Consider the following 18759-nt stretch of genomic DNA (forward strand, 5'->3'; position numbering starts at 1 on the left):
ACTTTTTTTGTAAATTCAAGATCTAAAGGACCATTCTAACATCTACCTTTTAGTATTGCCTCTTACATAAACATTTTTTATATTGATTGATACATAAAAATTGTACATATTTATGGGGTACATATGAGATTTTGATATGTGCATACAATATGTAATTATCAAATCGGGGTATCTAGGATATACATAATCTCAAACATGCATCATTTCTTTGCATTGGGAACATTTAAATATCCCCTTCTAGCTATTTTGCAATATATAATAAATTCCTGTTAGCTGTACTCACACTATTGTGCTATCAAACACTAGAACTTATTTCTTCTATCTAACTGTATGTTTATACCCATTAACCAACCTCTTCTTATTGCCCTCTATCCCCTTCCCAGCCTCTGGTAACTATACTTCAGCTCTTTGCCTTCATGACGTCAAATTTATTTTAGCACCCACATATGATTGAGAACATGTAATGTTTATCTTTCTGGGCTTGGATTATTTTACTTAACCCAATGACCTCCAATTCCATCCGTGTCTCTATAAATGACAGGATTTTATCCTTTTTTGCTTGTTTTGAGACGGAGTCTCACTCTGTCGCCAGGCTGAAGTGCAATGATATGATCTTGGCTGACTGCAACCTCCGCCTCCCAGGTTCAAGTGATTCTCCTGCCTCAGCCTCCCAAGTAGCTGGGACTAAGCGATGTCAAGCCCAGCTAATGTTTATATTTTTAGTAGAGACGGGGTTTCACCATGGTGGCCAGGATAGTCTCGATCTCTTGACCTTGTGATCCACCCACCTTGGCCTCCCAAAGTGTTGGGATTACAGGCATGAGCCACCGTGCCCAGCAGATTTTGTCCTTCTTTATGGCTGAACGGTATTCCATTGTATATGTATATCATATTCTCTTTATCCCTTCATCCTTGGGGGCAGTTAGATTGACTCCATTATCTTTGCTAGTGTGAATAGTATGCAGTAAACATGGGTGTGCAAGTATCCTTTAATATACTAATTTATTCTCCTTTGGACAAATACCCAGTGGTGGAATTGCTGAATCATACAGCAGTTCTATTTTTTGAGGATCCTTCTGTTTTCCATAGTAGCTAAAGAGTTTGAGTAGAATTGGTGTTAGTTCGTCTTTAAATGTTTAGTAGAATTTAGCAGTGAAGCCATTAGTTCCTGGGCTTTTCTTTGGTGAGAAACTTTTTATTAAAGCTTCAATTTTATTACTTATTATTGGTTTGGTGAGGCTTTTAAAAAATATTTTCATAGTTCAATCTTGGTAAATTTTATATGTCCATGAATTTATCCATTTCTTCTAGATTTTCCAATTTGTTGGCATATAATTGTTCATAATAGTCACTAATTATTCATTGTATTTCTCTCATATCAGCTGTAATTTTTCTCCTTTGTTTCTGATTTTCTTTACTTGGGGCTTCTCTCTTTGTTTATTGGTTGGACTCACTAGTAGTTTATCAATTTTATTTCTCTTTTCAAAAATCCAACTTTTCACTTTGTTGATCCTCTGTGGTTTTTTATTCTCTATTTTACTTATTTCTCCTTTTATCTTTATTATGTATTTATTTGTTTTTTATTTTGGAGACAAGGTCTCGCTTTGTTTCTCAGGCTGGAGTGGTGCAGTGGCATGATCACAGTTCACTGCAGCCTTGACTTCCTGAGCTCAAGCAATACTCCCACTTCAGGCTCCTGAATAGCTAGGACTGCAGACACATGCCACCACACCCAGATAACTTTTTGGTTTTTTTTTTCTAGAGATGAGGTTTCACCATGTTGCCCAGGTTGATCTCAAACTCCTGAGTTCAATCAATTTGCCCATCTTGGCCTCCCAATGTGCTGGGATTACAGGTGTGAGCCACCACGCCCAGCTCATCTTTATTATTTTTTTCTTCTATTAATTTGGATTTTTGTTTGTTCTTGCTTTTCTGATTCTTTGAGGTGCATCAAGTTGTTTATTTGAAATCTTTCTACTTTTTAATGTGTTCACTTACTGATATAAACTTCATTCTTAGCACTGTTTTTGCTGTGTCCATTGGTTTCAGTATTTTATGTTTCCCTTTTATTTTAAAATATATTTTTTTAAATTTTCCTCCTAATTTCTTCATTGGCCCAATGGTCATTCAGGAGCATGCTGTTCAATTTTTAGGTGCTTGTATAGTTTCTAAAATTCTTGTTATTGATTTTCAGTTTTGTTCTATTGTAATCTGAGAAGATCCTTGATATAATTTGGGCTTTAAAAAATTTGTTAAGACTTGTTTTGTGAGCTCATGTAAGGTCTATCCTAGAAAATGTTCCATATGCTGATGAGAGGAATGTGTACTCTGCAGATGTTGCAAAAACTGTTCTGTGAATGTCATTTGGTCTAAAGTGCATTTATATCCAATGTTTCATTACTTCCTGTATAGATGATCTGTCTGATGTAGAGAGTAGGGTGCTGAAATCACCAATTATTATTTTATTTAAGTCTATCTCTCCATTTGACCTAATAATATTTGCTTTACATCTGGGTACTGTAGTGTTGGGTAAATATGTATTTATAACTGTTATATTATCTTGCCCTTTATTATTATGTAATGAAATACTTTGTCTCTTTTTGCAGTTTTTGACTTAAAATCTGTTTTATCTCATATAAATATAGGTACTCCTGCTTCCTTTTGGTTTCTGTTTGTGTGGAATATTTTTTTTTCCATCGCTTCACTTTGAGCCTGTATGTGTCTTAGCAAGTGAAGTGAGTTTCTTGTAGGCAGTGTATAATTGGATTATATTTTTCATTCATTCAGCAAGTTTGTATCTTTTAACTGGGGAATTTATTCCATTCACATTCAAGGGTATTATTGATAGATGAGGACTTATTCCTGTGATTTTGTTAATGGTTTTCTGTTTGTTTTGTATAACCTTTGTTTCTTTCTTTATCACTTATTTTCATTGTGGTTTCATGGTTTTATGTGGTGGTAATGCCTAACTCCTTCCTCTTTCTCATTTGCATATCTGCTCTACAACTGAGTTTTATCCTTTTGTATATTTTGTATATCCTTTTGTCCTTCATGCTGGTAGATATCATTCTTTCATTTCCAGATGTAGGACTTCCAAAAGTATTTCTTGAAGGGCCAATCTAATGGTAATAAATTCCCTCAGTTGTTGATGGTCTGCATAAGGCTTTATATCTCCTTCATTTTTGAAGAATAATTTTGCTGGGTATAATAGTCTTGACTGACAGGGTTTTTTTATAAGCACTTTGAATATTTCATGCCATTCTGTCTTGGCCTGTAAAGTTTCTTCTGAGGAATTTGCTGTTAGTCTGTTTGGGCTTCCCTTATATATGACTTGACCTTTTTCTCTGGCTGTTTTTAGAAATCTTTCTTTGATATTTGACAGTTTGATTATAATGTGCTTTGGAGAAGACCTTTAGGGTTTTACCTATTTGGGAATTTTCTAGCTTCTGTATCTGGATGTTTATATCTCTTGATAGATTTGGGAAGTTTTCATTATTTTTTCAAATACATTTTCTAAGCCTTGCCTGTCTCTTCTTCTAGAATTCTCAAAATTTGAATATTTTCACTTTATGGTGGCCTATATATGACAACCATTTATTATGTCTCATGAGTTAATGGGGTGCCTGAGTAGTTTCCAGGATCTAGCTGACAACTTGTAGGTAGACTTAAAGCTGGCTGTTCTGGCATGGATTCAGAAAGAATGCCTTGGCACTACTGTAGGTGATTTATTTTCTTCTAGCAGTTTAGACTGTACTTATTCACATGGCAGCTGTAGAAATTCAAAATTCAGGTAGGCTTTCTTTATTCTTTTTTCTTCTTTGTTTTTCTTCCTACTGGGTTATTTCAAAAGATGTATCTTCAAATTCAGAAATTCCTTCTTCTTTTTGATCTACTCTGTTGTTGAAGCTCTCAATTGTATTTTTTATTTTATTCAATGAGTTCTTCACTTCCAGGATTTCTGTTTTGTTCTTTTTTATAGTACCTATCTCTTTGTTGAATTTCTCATTTAAATCATTAATTGTTTTCCTGGTTTCTTTGTGTTGTTTATGTGTGCTCTATTGTATCTCACTGAGTTTCTTTAATATTATTATTTTGAATTCTTTTTCAGGCATTTAATAGACTTCCTTTTTGGTAGGATCTGTTACTGGAGAATTATTGTATTCCTTTGGGGGTGTCCTGTTTCCTTGCTTTTTTATGTTTCTTGTGTCCTTACTTTGATATCTGCATGCCTGGTATAACAATTACTTCTTCCAATTTTTATGGACTGGAAGGAGAAAGACTTTTTGTAAGGAAAAACTTTTTCCAATAGATGTACTTATAGTGTTAGTTAGATAGGGTTCTTTGGCTTTGTTTCTGGGTAGGTGCAGTAGTGTAGTCTGCATATGATTTCTTCTGCTGCAATTGCTGTTAGTTGGGTCTATAACTTCCTCAGTGGCTTAGGCTGTGGTTGTTAGTGGAGTCTGTGGTGAAGCTTTGCTGGGGACAAGGATGCCAGACACAGATGGTGTTGATGGCAGGCCAGACATGCCAGTCCTCAGGCCCCCAGGTGGTGCATGCAGGCACTGTCAGTGGTAGGTCCAGCATGGCTGCCCTTAGGCCTTCAAGCACCTTGCTCAGGTGCTAACAGTGGTAGCAGTGACCTGGGAGAGTGATCAGACTCTTGATCCCCTGGATGCCATGTGTTACATCAGATGTGGCAGTAGCAGTGATGCACCAACCTTGAAGCCCCCAGTGGTGCACATGGGTGCCACTGATGGCAGTAGTGGGCTGTTCTACCTTGTCCCCACACTCCTGGGAGGCACACATAGGTGCTGGCAGTAGATGAAGTGGGCCTATTCCCAGACCCCAGGCAGTGCGTGCAGGCAGCAGTGGCAGGCCAAGTAGCCTTATCCTCAGGCTCCCAGGAGGCATGTACAGGCACTGGTGATGATGAATGAGGTTGGTCAATCGCCAGGCCCCTGGACAACATGCTTAGGTACCACCAGTGGTGACAGCAGTCAGGGCAAGATACATAAGCATTTTTACAGATATAGTGAATTGAATTGAGGTTATTGCATTGGATGCAGAACTCTGTATATCATGAAGCATGGCCAAAAATGTGTGTTGGGAGAATAGGTCTGGTAATGCTGGGGTGACAGTTTATCCTGTTGAATGTAGTACAGTAGTTCTCAATGTGGATGATTTTTAAATCCCCCAGGGATATTTGGTACTGTCTGGAGACATTTTAATTGTGACCACTGGATTCAGGAAAGCATTGCTACTGGAATCTACTGGGTAGAAGTGGGATAGGCTGCCAAATGAAACAACCTAAAATGCAAAGAACAATCCAAACTCCCCCCAAGGAATTACCCAGCATGAAATGTCAATGGTGGCATAGTTGAGAAATCCTACTTTTGTGCAGCACACCTTACTGCAGAAGTCAGGGAAAAGGAAAAGCACAGCCATGTGCTGAAGAAGATCCAAGATGCTCCTAAATAACACAATCCAAGAATGGTGGAGCCTACCTGTCTCGTAGGAATGTCCCGCTTTCCCCTGTTTGTTTATATATTATATAAAGCTGCTTTTCAAAAAGCTAATGTGGTAGTAGATACTAATAGAAGCCTCAGTGCTGAAGGATAAAATACATACCTCCCACAGAGTTGTCAGACATATATTTCTTCATAGTCCTATAATAATTTATCTGGTACTGTTTTGCTTTTGCTCTATCCAAAATAAGATATTACTAAAATAATATTTGACACTTTGATATGAATTAAATGGAAATTATAGTAAAATGTCCAGAGTCTGAGCCCATGTGATGTTTTCTGAAAGTAAACAAATAAAATCATATTTTTCTAATTTAAAGAAAACTTTATTACTCAGGGAATGGTTTAATTAACTGCCATTAATAAATCACAGTAGATTATCTTTTAATTTCTAGTTTAAGATGTGGCAATAGTCAATTTCATTTTTGCTGTGAGGAGTGTGATTCTAGATTTTCCTGTGTCTACATATAGAGGTTACTGATTATGAGGATGTATCTGTAATGCCAAAAGCCTGGCAAATTCAGTGAAGAGAGAGCCCTGTCAGTGGAAATCTGAGTCTGTCTGGATATTTAACAACAAGCTGAAATGACATCCCCATGTCTGAACCTTTTGTTAAGTTGCTTGACTTGTTTTGACATTTTCATGACATAATCTACATTTACAATTTGTTTCTAATTAAGATTATCTTTAATATTTGGTTTCTAATCTATTTCAGGGTGAGAAGTAACAATTATGTTAGCAAACAAGGTACTGTTTATTACATGTATTTATCTACTCTAAGTTATAAAAGACAATCCCTGTTTTCATTCATTTTTCAAGTCTTCAAATAATTTGAATTACTGAAGCAGATACTAAATTATTAGGGGAATGAATAAGCTTGTTTTTGGCCAAATTATTAATAGAATTTAGCACCTATGTTGAAAAAAATGTCGCCAGAAGTGTCTCACAGCAGAAAAAGTTTAAGTTAATACAATTAAAGGGAAAACAATGTATTTTTGTTATTATTTGTCTCAATAATATTTAATTACCATGTACTAGTCATTGGCTATTTTGTACAACTAATATTATGGTACTATTTATTTACTGCTATGTGCTGACTTTGTGACAGACATTGAGCAACTGTTCTACATGTATCATGTCCTTTAATGCTCACAGTAAGTCAGTTGCAATGATAATACAGTTAAGAGAACTAAGGTACAAGTATTTAAATGATATTCCCAATCTTACAAAACAAGTAAATGGTAAAGCTATTATAAGTGTGGCATAGATAAGTGAGATACTGCTATTAACCTTTAGAAGTGTTCAGGATAACAAGAGTTTGACATATTGTATTAGTGTGTTCTCATGCTGCTAATAGAGACATATCTGAGACTGGGTAATTTATAATGGAAAGAGGTTTAATGGACTCACAGTTCCACATGGCTGGGGAGGCCTCCCAATCGTGGCAGAAAGCGAAGGGGGGGCAAGACACATCTTACATGGCAGCAGGCAAGAGAGAGCTTGTGTGGGGCAACTCCCTTATAAAACCATCAGATCTTATGAGACTTACTCACTACCTTGATAACAGCAAGCAAAAGACCCACCCCCATGATTCAATTGCTTCCCACCACATCCCTTCCACAACACATGGGAATTCATGGGAATTATGGGAGCTACAATTCAAGATGAGATTTGGTTGGGAACACAGCCAAACCATATCACATATGTCATTTGCCAATTTCCTTACCTTTTCTACTTGCAGAATTTGAATTCACAAAATAGGAGTCCTGGTCAAATTCTGCCACTTACACTCACAAACTCTGGCACTTAACAAGTCTGTTAAATATCCTAAACCAGTTTTCTTATAAGTGAAATGACCAATTTCTCAGGTTTATCGTGGGGGAAAGATGAATCAATGGTTATAAAAACCTTTAGTAATCTGAAGTCTGAAATTGTTACTGTCAGATGCAATAGGCATGATGACACTCTAGCCTGTAAATTAATTAGTGCAGCTCAAATTGAAGAGATGATTAACTTAACACTTATGTTACTATCAGGGTTTAACCACTGGGGAGTGGGGAGATAAAATCCGCTAAGACAAACACATTAAGTAAATATGAATCTATTTTGGTGTCCCTTTCTTCCTCCTTCCCTCCCTCTTTTCCTTATTTCCTTCTTATTCTCAGTATTCAAATTCCGTATATAAATGCAGTTGCTGGGGAACCAACAACTCCAACCATTGGTAGTTTTAAATGGCAACCATTTATCATGTCTCATGAGTTGATGTGGTGCCTGAGCAGTTCTGCTGATCTAGCTGATAACTTGTAGGTGGACTGAAAGCTGGCTGGTCTGGCTCGGGTTCAGAAAGAGTGCCTTGGCACTACTCTGGATGGTTTCTTTCTTCTAGCAGTTGAGCCTGTACTTATTCTCATGGCAGGCATAGAAATTCAAAAGAGAGTGAAACCTCTTTTGAAGGTACACAAAACCTGTTGTGCCCCAGGACAGGTCGTCTGCAAGTGTATACAAAACCTGTTGATGTCTAGACTTGAAACTGGCATTTCTGCTATACCCTGTTGAACAAAAGCAAGTCACAAGACCAGCTCAGATTAAAGGGGTAGATCTCATTTTGAAAGGGGGATTTGCAAAGTCTTGTTGCAGAGGGTAGGAATCATGGAGGGGTGGAGAACTGAGGGCATTTTTGCAATCAGTCTCTCAGGCTTCTGTAGTTAGTGTATACACATTTCTCAATTATCTTTCATGGCTATAATCTCCTGTCTACTTTAAATAGTAAGTCAGTCTTTGGCTGAGGTATCCTTTGGTTTCAGGCACATTCCTCCGTTTTATTACACAATTAGACTGGTATGAGTCCATTAGCATATTTTTGTTGTTGTATGTACTCTGGGGGATACATAATTATTCATGTTCCCCTTCCAGATTGATATTCACCCCTCTGCACCTCAGGGTATCTCCATAGATAGGCTTGTCCTGGCTGCTTTGAGTGCCAAGGCCTCCTGCATGTAGTGGTTTTCAGTGCTCAGAGTTCTGTGAAATCGATTCAGTGGAAATTTCTCTCAACACTTACTCACTGCTGCTGGACACCAGGGACCAGCCCATGGCCACTTTCTTTTATAGACCTTGAAGCTAGACTTTGTAGATTAGACTCATTGAGGTGCAGCAAGCTGCAGAGATGTGGCCTTTACTATATCTGTTGATCTAGTAGTTCCTAGTTTTCTTCTGCTTCATACATCCCACTAGGTCTCTAGAACTTTCTGCCAGGCCAAGGTGGGTTTTTGAGTCAGAAAGGAGTACTAGGACTTTCTTCCTTCCAATGTTGTATTCAATTGGTAGCTATAATAGTCAGGGTTCTTTAGGAAAACAGAACCGATATGACAGATAATAGACAGAGATATAGAAAGATACATGAGATGGAATCTTTTAGGGAAATTGGCACACATGATTATGGAGGCTTAGAAGTCCCAGGACAAGTCATCTGCAAGCTGGAGGCCTTGGGATGCTGGTAGCATGGCTCAGTCCAAGTCCCAAATCCACAGAACCAAGGAAGCTGTTGGTATAATTCTCAGACTAAGCCTTAAGACCTTAAGACCAGGGGACCGCTGTTGTAAGACCTATAGTTCAAAGGCCAGAGAGCCTAGAGGTCTGATGTTTAAGAGCATGAGAAGAAAAGCATCACCACTCCAGGAAAGAGACAGAAAGAGAGAGAAAATAATCTTTTATCTGCTCTTTTTGTTTTATCTGGGCCACCCGTTGATTGAATGGTGCCAGCTCACATTGAGGGCAGACCTTCCACTCAGTCCACTGACTCACATGCAAATCTCCTCTGAAAACACCCTTCCAGACACATACAGAAGGAATGCCTTACCAGTTCTCTGGGTATTTCTCTTTCTCTCTCTCTCTCTCTGTATTTTATTTTATTTTTTATTTATTTTTTAGACAGGCTCTCACTCTGTCACCCAGGTTGGAGTACAGAGGTGTGAGTGTGATCATGGCTCACTGAAGCCTTAACCTTCTGGGCTAAAGCAATCCTCCCACCTCAGGCCCCAGCAGCTGAGACTACAGGCATGACAGCATGCCTGGCTAATTTTCATATTTTTTGTAGAGAGGGGTTTTGCCATGTTGTCTAGACTGGTCTCAAACTCCTGGGCTCAAGTGATCCACCTGCCTTAGCCCCCCAAAAATGCGGGGAATACAGGCATGAGCCACTGTGCCCAGCTTCTCTGGGTATTGCCTAATTCAGTCAACTTGACACTTAAAATTAACCATCACAGGGACATTGCAAAATAAAACTACATGGAGTACGTATTACAAATTTTTAAATAGGTAGCTCTTTTTATTTACCATGCTCAGCCATGTTCCACTGAGATAAATCCATGGAACTGTGGTGGGCAGGCTAGGGGGAACATCAGTACATGTGTTTGCACCTGGACCCAAAGGCCTGGGTGTTAATGTAGAGAGGGATTCCATCAGATATTGTGCCTTCCTTTACGGAGACATTTAACACCTTTTTGTGATTTTGGTAATACATTTGTAAGTTCAAAAAAATTGATTGCACCTTGCTTCCTTATTACCCCAAATATGTAACTACCATTATTGGTTTCTTGCATATTTCTCCAGAGTTTTTAAAAATAAAATACCAAAAAGTTAGGAATATATAGTGCTATTTTCCCTTTTTTAAATAAAAAGCATATTACCTTTTTAATAAAAGGTATATTATACATAATTCTATGCAGATTGTTTTTGTTTTTTACTTTTTACATTTTGAAGATATTTTTATACTAATCTATAGATACTTTTTATTCTTTTACAGTTATAAAATATTACATTATATATTAAAATTTATTTAACCAACTGACCCATTGATAGACATTTAGGTTTTCAATCCATTGATATAATAAGCAATGCCTCAATTCTTACTTGATCATAAATTATATCACAGTTGTGCAATTGTGTCTATAGGAAAACTAATTAACTGAATTGTGGTGACTGGATTAAAGATTTAATACATTTTTAAATTTTATATAACTGCCCAATGTACCCCCACAGAAATTGTACAAACTCACATTAACATCATCAAAAAATGAAAGTTTCTGTTTTACTAAACCTTATCAACAAGGTGCATTATCATTCCATTTTATTTTTTCCAATGTGACAGGTAGAAAGCAATATGTCAGTGTAATTTCAATTCGTGTTTCTTTTCTTAGAAACAAAGTTAAGCACCATTTATATGTTTAAAAGCCTTTTTAATTTTAGTTTATTTTCATTAGCTACTTATATTCTTTGAAGTATTTTTCTAATTGATTTCTAAGAGTTTCTTACATGTGAGCCTTTGTGATATGAGCTTTATTTTTTCTTGAAACATTTTTTAATATCAGTTTTCACAACACAGGAGTTAATTTCTAGGCTTTGAATATAAATTGAAGGTCATCACTGATCCAAGTTTTAGAAATATTTTTCAATGCTGTAATATTTAATTTTTAAAATTTTGAATATTTGAACTATTTGAGGTATATTCTGCTCTATAGTGTGAGGTATAGACCAGAATTAATTTCTCTAGCTATTTAGCCAATTGTTCCAACACCATTTATTGTCTTTCCTTTCTGAAATGAGGAAGTTTCCTTTTGTTCTTGGTTTTCTGATACTTTTTTTTTTAAGTCGTAAATGGGTGCTGGATTTTGTCAATTTATTTTTCTGTAGCAGCTGATGTAATCATGTGATTTTTCTTTTCAGCTTGTCGGTGTGGTAATTACATTGATTGATTTTCTAATGTTTACCTTGCCTGGTGTTCCTGGAATAAATCCCATTTGGTTGTAGTATACATTCTCTCAATACCTTTTTGGATTTGATTTGTTAATATTTGCTTGATAATTTTGCATCTATTTTATTCATGAGAGATACTGTTCAGTAGCTTCCATTTATCTAATGTCTTCCATTTACCCAATGTCTTTATCTAATTTTGATATTAGGGTAATACTGGTTTCATTAAGTGAATTAGAAAGTATTCCCTCTACTTCTATTTTCCAGATAACTTTATGGAGAATTGCTAGGATTTATTTCTTAAATGTTTGGTAGAATTCACCAGTGAAACCATCTGGGACTGGTGCTTTCTGTTTTGGAAGGTTATTAATTATTTATTCTTTTTTTAATAGATTCAGGCTTATTCGTGTTATCTATTCTCCCTTGTGTGAGTTCGGGTAGTCTGTGCTTTTTAAAGGAATTGGTCCATTTCATTCAATTTATCAAATTTGTGGGAACAGAGTGGTTTCTAGTATTTTTAAATTACCTTTTTAGTGTGTGCAGAATCACTATTGATGACCCCTCCTTCATTTGTGATATGGGTAATTTGTGTCTTCATTTCATTGTTCTTGGTAAACCTGGCTATACGTTTATCAATGTTAGTAATTTTTCGAATAACCAGTTGTTGGTTTTGCTGGTTTTCTCTATTGTTTTACTATTTGCAATTTCACTGATGGCTCTTCTAAGTTTTATTTTTTTTTCTGTTTTCTTTTAGGCTTAAATAGTTTTTTTTCTAGTTTCCTAAGATAGAAACTCATCTTATTGGTTTAGATCTTTCTTCTTTTCTAATATATTCTTTTAATATTACATGTCTTTTTTTTTTTTTTTTTTTTTTTTGAGATGGAGTCTCACTCTGTTACCAGGCTGGAGTGCAGTGGCATGGTCTCAGCTCACTGCAACCTCTGCCTCCCGGGTTCAAGTGATTCTCCTGCCTCAGCCTTACAAATAGTGGGACTACAGGCACTCCCCACCATGCCCTGCTAATTTTTGTATTTTTAGTAGAGACGGGGTTTCACCATGTTGGCCATGATGGTCTGGATCTCTTGACCTTGTGATCCACCCACCTCGGTCTCCCAAAGTGCTGGGATTACAGGTGTGAGCCACCATGCCAGGCCAATACTACATGTGTCTTTATAAGAATTGCACTCAACTCTAGAAACTTTGATAAGTCGTATAATATTTTGTACTTTACAAATTTTGATATTATGTAATCCAAAATAGTTTTAAATTTTTCTGACTTGTGTTATTTAAATGTATGTCATTAATTTCCAAATGCTAAGGGATTTTCCTGTTATTTATTTCTAGCTTAATTACATTGTAGTGTGACAACATACTTTGTATAATTTATACTCTTTTAAATTTCTTCAGGTATTTTTAAAGACCAGAGTGTGATCTGTCTTAGTCAATACTTCCTGAGAGCTTGAGAAGGATGTTTATTTTATGGTTGTTGAATGAATTATTCTGTGAATGTTAATGAGATTAAGTTGACTGATAGCGATGTTCATATCAACTGTATCCTTACTGATTTTCTGCCTGCATGATTTATGAATTACTGAAAGAATTACTTGAGCTATAGCAGTGGATTTGCCTATTTCATCCTGCAGTTCTATCAGATTTTGCCTCACCTATTTTGATGTTCTTTTGTTAGGCACATTGAAATTATGTCTCTTTGGAGAATTGGTCTCTTTATCATTATGCAATGCCTCTCTTTACCTTAATAATCTTCCTTGTTCTTAAGTCTGCTTTATGTGACTAACTCCAGTTGTCTTTTGATTAGTAGTAGTGTGATATATCTGTCTCCATTCCTTTACTTTTAATCTGAGTCTTTATATTTAATGTGGGTTTCCTGTAAAGAACATATATTTGGATCTGACCGTCCCTGTCTTTTAATTGGTATATTTAGAACTTTGATATTTTCAATTGGCATATTTAGACTATTCACATTTCCTTAAGTTGTCTCACCAATTTTTCCCTAAGCTTTTTAATTTGTGCTTCATGCACTTCTTCCTAGAAGCAATTGTTTCATTATTTTTTTCAATTTGTGTGAAAAGGATTGATCTTTTTTTTCTATTTTAAGCAATGCATTTTCTGATAAGTGGGTTTTAAATATCTGTTTATACATTTTGTTTCTTTTGTAAAGATTTTAAAAGTCTTTCTACGGCTAAAGTAGCAGTTTTCTTTTTCTACTCAATTGTGAATAAATTAGATTTTTCTAGGTCAGATATTTACAGGACATTGCTATGCATCAGTGAAGGAAAAGTTCTGATTCTTTGTCCAGGTTACGTAAAACAGAGGCTCCTGTCTTTACTGTTTCCACAGAGGTGGTGTTTAACTCACCTCCTCTACTGTCTGATTCTAACCATATCCAGGGTACATTTTGCAACTAACCTTGTCAGCCCCAAGTATCTTAATAGCCTTGTCCAATGGACACAACCTGTGAACCCTGATGGTAAATCCTTGAGCTTCAGGACATGTATGTGCCTCTTGTAGTATTTTTGGATGTTTGCCGATACTGGTTTCTCCACATACACTTTGCACCTAAACCTGTAATTCTCCGACACTTGGTTTCAACTATATCTCATTCTTGCCCACCACAGCTCTCACTATGGATGTTATAAATTCAAAATATTGCTTTTGCTCTTTAGAGTAAACCTTTCACAACCAAGGTGCCCATTCTGGGGTCATCTTCTATAATCTGTTGCCTCTGAATACCCTTGACCTTCCGCATTGCTCTTCCCACGTGGCTCGGCCAATTTCAGTTGTTCTTGACTTTTGAGAATGAAGTCAGCAAAATTTAGTTTGTTTGATTATTTATGGAGTTTTTGTTGTTTTGTTTGTTTTCCAGGAGTAGCAAATTACTCATTCTAGTGTCTTCTGTAGAATTGTATCTCAGAAGTTATATCTGTTCTTCCTTATAATATGGACTTCAGCTGTACTGATTAAAGAGAAATGCTGGAATATTTTGAATTGAAATAGTCTGGGTTTGGAGTGAGAGAGAGTGGGGTCTTATTTCTATTTCCTCTTCAATAGGTGTTTTCTCCACCCCTATGGAAATTCACGTATTATAGATTATAAATGTGAGGGAAAAGCACTGCCAAACTTTGATCAAAATGCAAATGTGTATGTCTATCCAGTTTGTACCAAACATCAAACTCAAATGTAGTAAAAAACAGCAAAAAAAATCTCATGGGAAAGATTTCTAAGCACACTTTAATAATTCAAAATGAGGTAGCACGTTAAGCTGAATAGAGAATCATCTTACAGAGAAATGTGATACACTCTTTAAGCTCAAAATAATTATGTTTATTATTTTGCTTATTATGGTTTAAATTCATTAATATTTAAATATTCTCAACATTAATTTAACTGTCATTTTATCAACATATTTACACAGAAATTAGAGAAAAATATTATTTGTAACATTTCTTTCCTTATCTTCACTCATTCTCAAAATACCCCCTTGTCTCTCCAATTCTCTTTCAGCTTTTTAAGTACAGTTTCCAATAATCCCAGACATAGAGCAGAATTAATTTGGATTTAGATTAATAAACTCTTGAAAGGATTTATTTTTGTCTTATTTTTCTAAACTTATTTGAAAGTATACTTCCCAGGAGACACATATTGATACCATTTTTGGTTTAATAACTGCTGAGTCTTTGGAGCTAGAAGGGTGATTTATGCAAGCATCCTATGGAAAAAGCAATAATTTTTATTGATTAATGCAGTTTAAGTAAAAACTTTCCTAAATCAAATAATTCACTGTAAGAAACAGACATTAACAATCTATTTGAAAATGTGAAAATTCTATGATTCTCCAAAAGAATTATATTTTTTATGTGGGATTTTGCCATTTCACTTTAATTCAACAAATAGGCATTGAATTCACACTCTGAAAAGTGTTACATAAAAATTTTAAAAATCTACTATGATGATAATTAAAAACTGAATGTAGTTTTATAGATATATAGATTAGATAGGTATGTAGATTGTTAGAAAAATGGATAGATAGATACATAGATAGATAGATAGATAGATAGATAGATGATAGATAGATAGATAGCCTTCCTATGCTTACATAGATTAGGAGCACCAAAGAGTGAGTGATACCACATTATAGATCATGAAGTTACAGAATAAAAGTATTAGAAGGCACCATAGATGTCATATAGTCTAATACCTCACTAAAGTTCAGTACCAATAAGTGATTTCCCCAATTATCTTTTAAGACTTTGCTAATTATCTAAAAGATTTTTTATATAACACTGAATTTTGTTTCTTAGAAACTTTTATCTTTTAACTGTATTTGTACCCTTTAGAGCCATATATACTAAGTGTACTTTCTATTTCCAATTATAATACATAAAATACATGAAGGCAGTCTGTGTTTCTTACTTAAAATTCCTCCTTTTCAGACTAACATATCTAGTTCATTCAGTGATGTCCAAATAATATGATGTAAGTCCATTCTCTTTCTGATCATTTTCTTTTCAGTGTCTTCCAGATTGCTAGTGGTCTACATTTTTTTTATCCTGGTGCCCAGAACTAAAGAAAAATATCTGGGTATGATTGATCAAAGTAAGATTATTTTACATTCATTCCTTGGAAATATTTCTGAAGTTGGGCTGTCTCTGAAGAGATTCGTGCTTAATATTACCACTCTGTCACTGTATTAGTCCATTCTCACACTGCTATAAAGACATACCTGAGGTGGGGTAACTTACGGAGAAAAGAGGTTTAATTGACTCACAGTTCCATAGGCTGTGCAGAAGACATGGCTGGAAGCCTCAGGAAACTTACAATCATAACAGAATGTGAAGGGGAAGCAGGCGCAATCTTCACATGGTGGAGCAAGAGAGAAAGCTCAAAGTGGGAAGTGCTACACACTTTTAAACAGCCAGATCTCAGGAGAACTCACTCACTATCATGAGAACAGCAAGGGGGAAAATCCACCCCCATGATCCAATCATCTCCTACCAGGCCCCTCCTGCAACACTAGGAATTACAATTCAACAGGAGATTTGGGCAGGGACACAGAGCCAAATCATATCAGTCACTTAAAATATTTTTAGAGCATAGAATACTGGGATCTTATTACTCTTGACTAATATACTGATAAGAACTATATTCTTATCATTATAGAGACTTAAAATAAATCTATTAAGTCCCTTGTGATAATAAGTTACTAATTGAACAGGTTACTATTACTATTTTTAATTTACCCTAACATTAAAAAAATGAAGAAGAAAATTGTTCTACAGAAATCTCAGTAACCAGCTGTATTAGACAGCGTTCTCTAGAGCAACAGAACTAGTAGGAGATATAGATAGATGCTGACAGATAGATAGATAGATAGATAGATAGATAGATAGATAGATAGATATGAAGGAGAGTTTATTAAGGAGTATTGACTCACAAAATCCCAGGGCAAAGTCCCACAATAGGAAGCCTGCAAGCTGAGGAGCAAGGAAGCCAGTCTGAGTCCCCAAACTTCAAAAGTATGGAAGCCGATGGTACATCCTTCACTCTGTGGCCAAAGGCCCTAGAGCCCCCTGGCAGATCACTGGTGGAAGTCTCAGAGTCCAAAAGCTGAATAACTTGGAGTCTGATGTTAGAGGGCAGGAAGCATTCAGCACGGTAGAAAGATAAAGCCCCAAGACTCAGCGAGCCAAGTCCTTCCAACTTCTGCCTGATTTATTCTAGTCATGCTGGCAGCTGATTAGATGATGCCCACCCAGATTGAGGATGGGTTTGCCTCTCCCAGTCCACTGACTCAAATGTTAATCTCCTTTGGCAATACCCTCACAGACACACCCAGGATCAATACTTTGCATCCTTCAATCCAATCAAGTTGACAGTCAATATTAACCATCACAGAGGCATTTGATTTTCTTCTGCAAAATACATCAATAAACCCAGCCAGAAGAGCACAACTTCTGTTAATTATTCAAAGCCCTTTCAGTTGATTAAATCAAACATTCTATCAACTGGATTCAATTTAATGTACACTTGTATGACCAAAGAGTATCTACCTGTTGATACCTAAACAATGTAGAAAAATATATATTTAATGACATACTTTATATAGATTTTTTGCCCATGTGATCCATCAAGCCCATAGAGAAACTTTATTTTAACATCTGGTAAAATGAAAGGATGGCAGCTGTTATTATTAATACAACTAAAAAGCTACTGATGGTTGAGGTTAGGAATTGAGGTTAGGAATTCGAAACCAGCCTAGCCAACATAGTGAGACCCCCGACTCTACTAAAAATACAAAAATTACCCAGGATAGTGGCACACGCCTGTAATCCCAGCTACTCAGGAGGCTGAGACAGGAGAATCGCTTGAACCAGGGAGTTGGAGGTTGCAATGAGCCGAGATTGCACCACCGCACTCCAGCCTGGGTGACAGAGCAGCGAGACTCCATCCCAAAAAGAAAAAAGAAAAGTTACTGATGGCTTTTACTGAAGGCATTGCTTAATTAGGAAATGGAAGCTATGCGTATGAATTTTTCCTGAATTCTAATGGATCCACACAAAAGCCTTTTATAAAGGTTTAAGTGCAAAATGCTGAACTTGTTTTTCTCTAATTTTTATGCCATTAGATTTATCAGTTCACATTAGAGAAGGAATTAACTAGTGCTTATATGTGTTTGAAATTCTGGGAGTAATTTTAGAAATAATGTGTTGATAAAACTAGTCTTTTCTAATTTTTGCTATTCCAAGCTCTCCAAGAAGCTTCGGAAGCTTTCAACTATATTTGTATTTTAAAATGCACTCATTATACAACTTCAGCCCTGCCTCTCTTTCTCCTATTTTTCCTCTTATCCCAATGTTTATTTTTGTCAGCTAAAGTATGTTAGAATAAAAAATAGCTACCACTAAGTAATGCTATCACTATCATTTATCAGAAAAGGCTACATTTGAGCAGTAAAGTAATGGAAAGGGCGTAATCTCTGATTAAACAACAATTACCAAACTCATAGGACATTAGAAAATATAAAGATTTTGAAAAGAGCATATAAAATGTTTAATGTAGGTAAACACAAAATATTATATCTACAATATTTATGATAATAACTAACATTTACTGAGTGCTTACCATCTGCCAAACACTGTGTATGTTATTTAATTCTCAATCTGCTATGACAGAGTGCTGATATTATTTATTTATTTATAAGAGAAACATTGAAACAACTGATCAGTAGTGTAACAGGGTTTACAAAAATACTACATTTTTTTTTAACTTCAGAGCTTAAACTGCTGACAAATGTATAATATTTACAGGTTTACTATTCTTTTATTGGTCCAATATTGTCAAGTTGGGGATCTTTCAAAGAACAACATAGAGCTCAAATCCAATAACTCCTTTTCTTATTTTGGTCATGAATTTTTCAAAAATCAGATTTCACATGAGTAGTTGATGAAACTCAACTCAAATTTTT

At 35.8% G+C, this 18759-nt stretch overlaps 1 long non-coding RNA gene across 1 annotated transcript in view, besides 1 other annotated feature; it reads right to left on the reverse strand.

Annotated features, from left to right (window-relative positions):
• The window catches only part of LINC02505 (long intergenic non-protein coding RNA 2505), a 145364-nt gene that overhangs the window by 28277 nt on the left and 98328 nt on the right, over nucleotides 1-18759 (reverse strand). The gene's annotated exons all lie outside the window — the stretch shown is intronic.
• Nucleotides 722-883: a silencer, noted in NCBI's record as "fragment chr4:36527157-36527318 (GRCh37/hg19 assembly coordinates)". NCBI's record gives its function as "represses an EF-1alpha promoter that drives an FKBP-Casp9 reporter gene in an ReSE screen in phorbol 12-myristate 13-acetate-treated (for megakaryocytic differentiation) K562 erythroleukemia cells {active_cell/tissue: K562(+PMA)}" and the evidence as "EXISTENCE:reporter gene assay evidence [ECO:0000049][PMID:32094911]".

The sequence above is a fragment of the Homo sapiens genome, chromosome 4 (assembly GCF_000001405.40).
Source record: "Homo sapiens chromosome 4, GRCh38.p14 Primary Assembly".
In the NCBI taxonomy this organism is placed as follows: domain Eukaryota; kingdom Metazoa; phylum Chordata; class Mammalia; order Primates; family Hominidae; genus Homo; species Homo sapiens.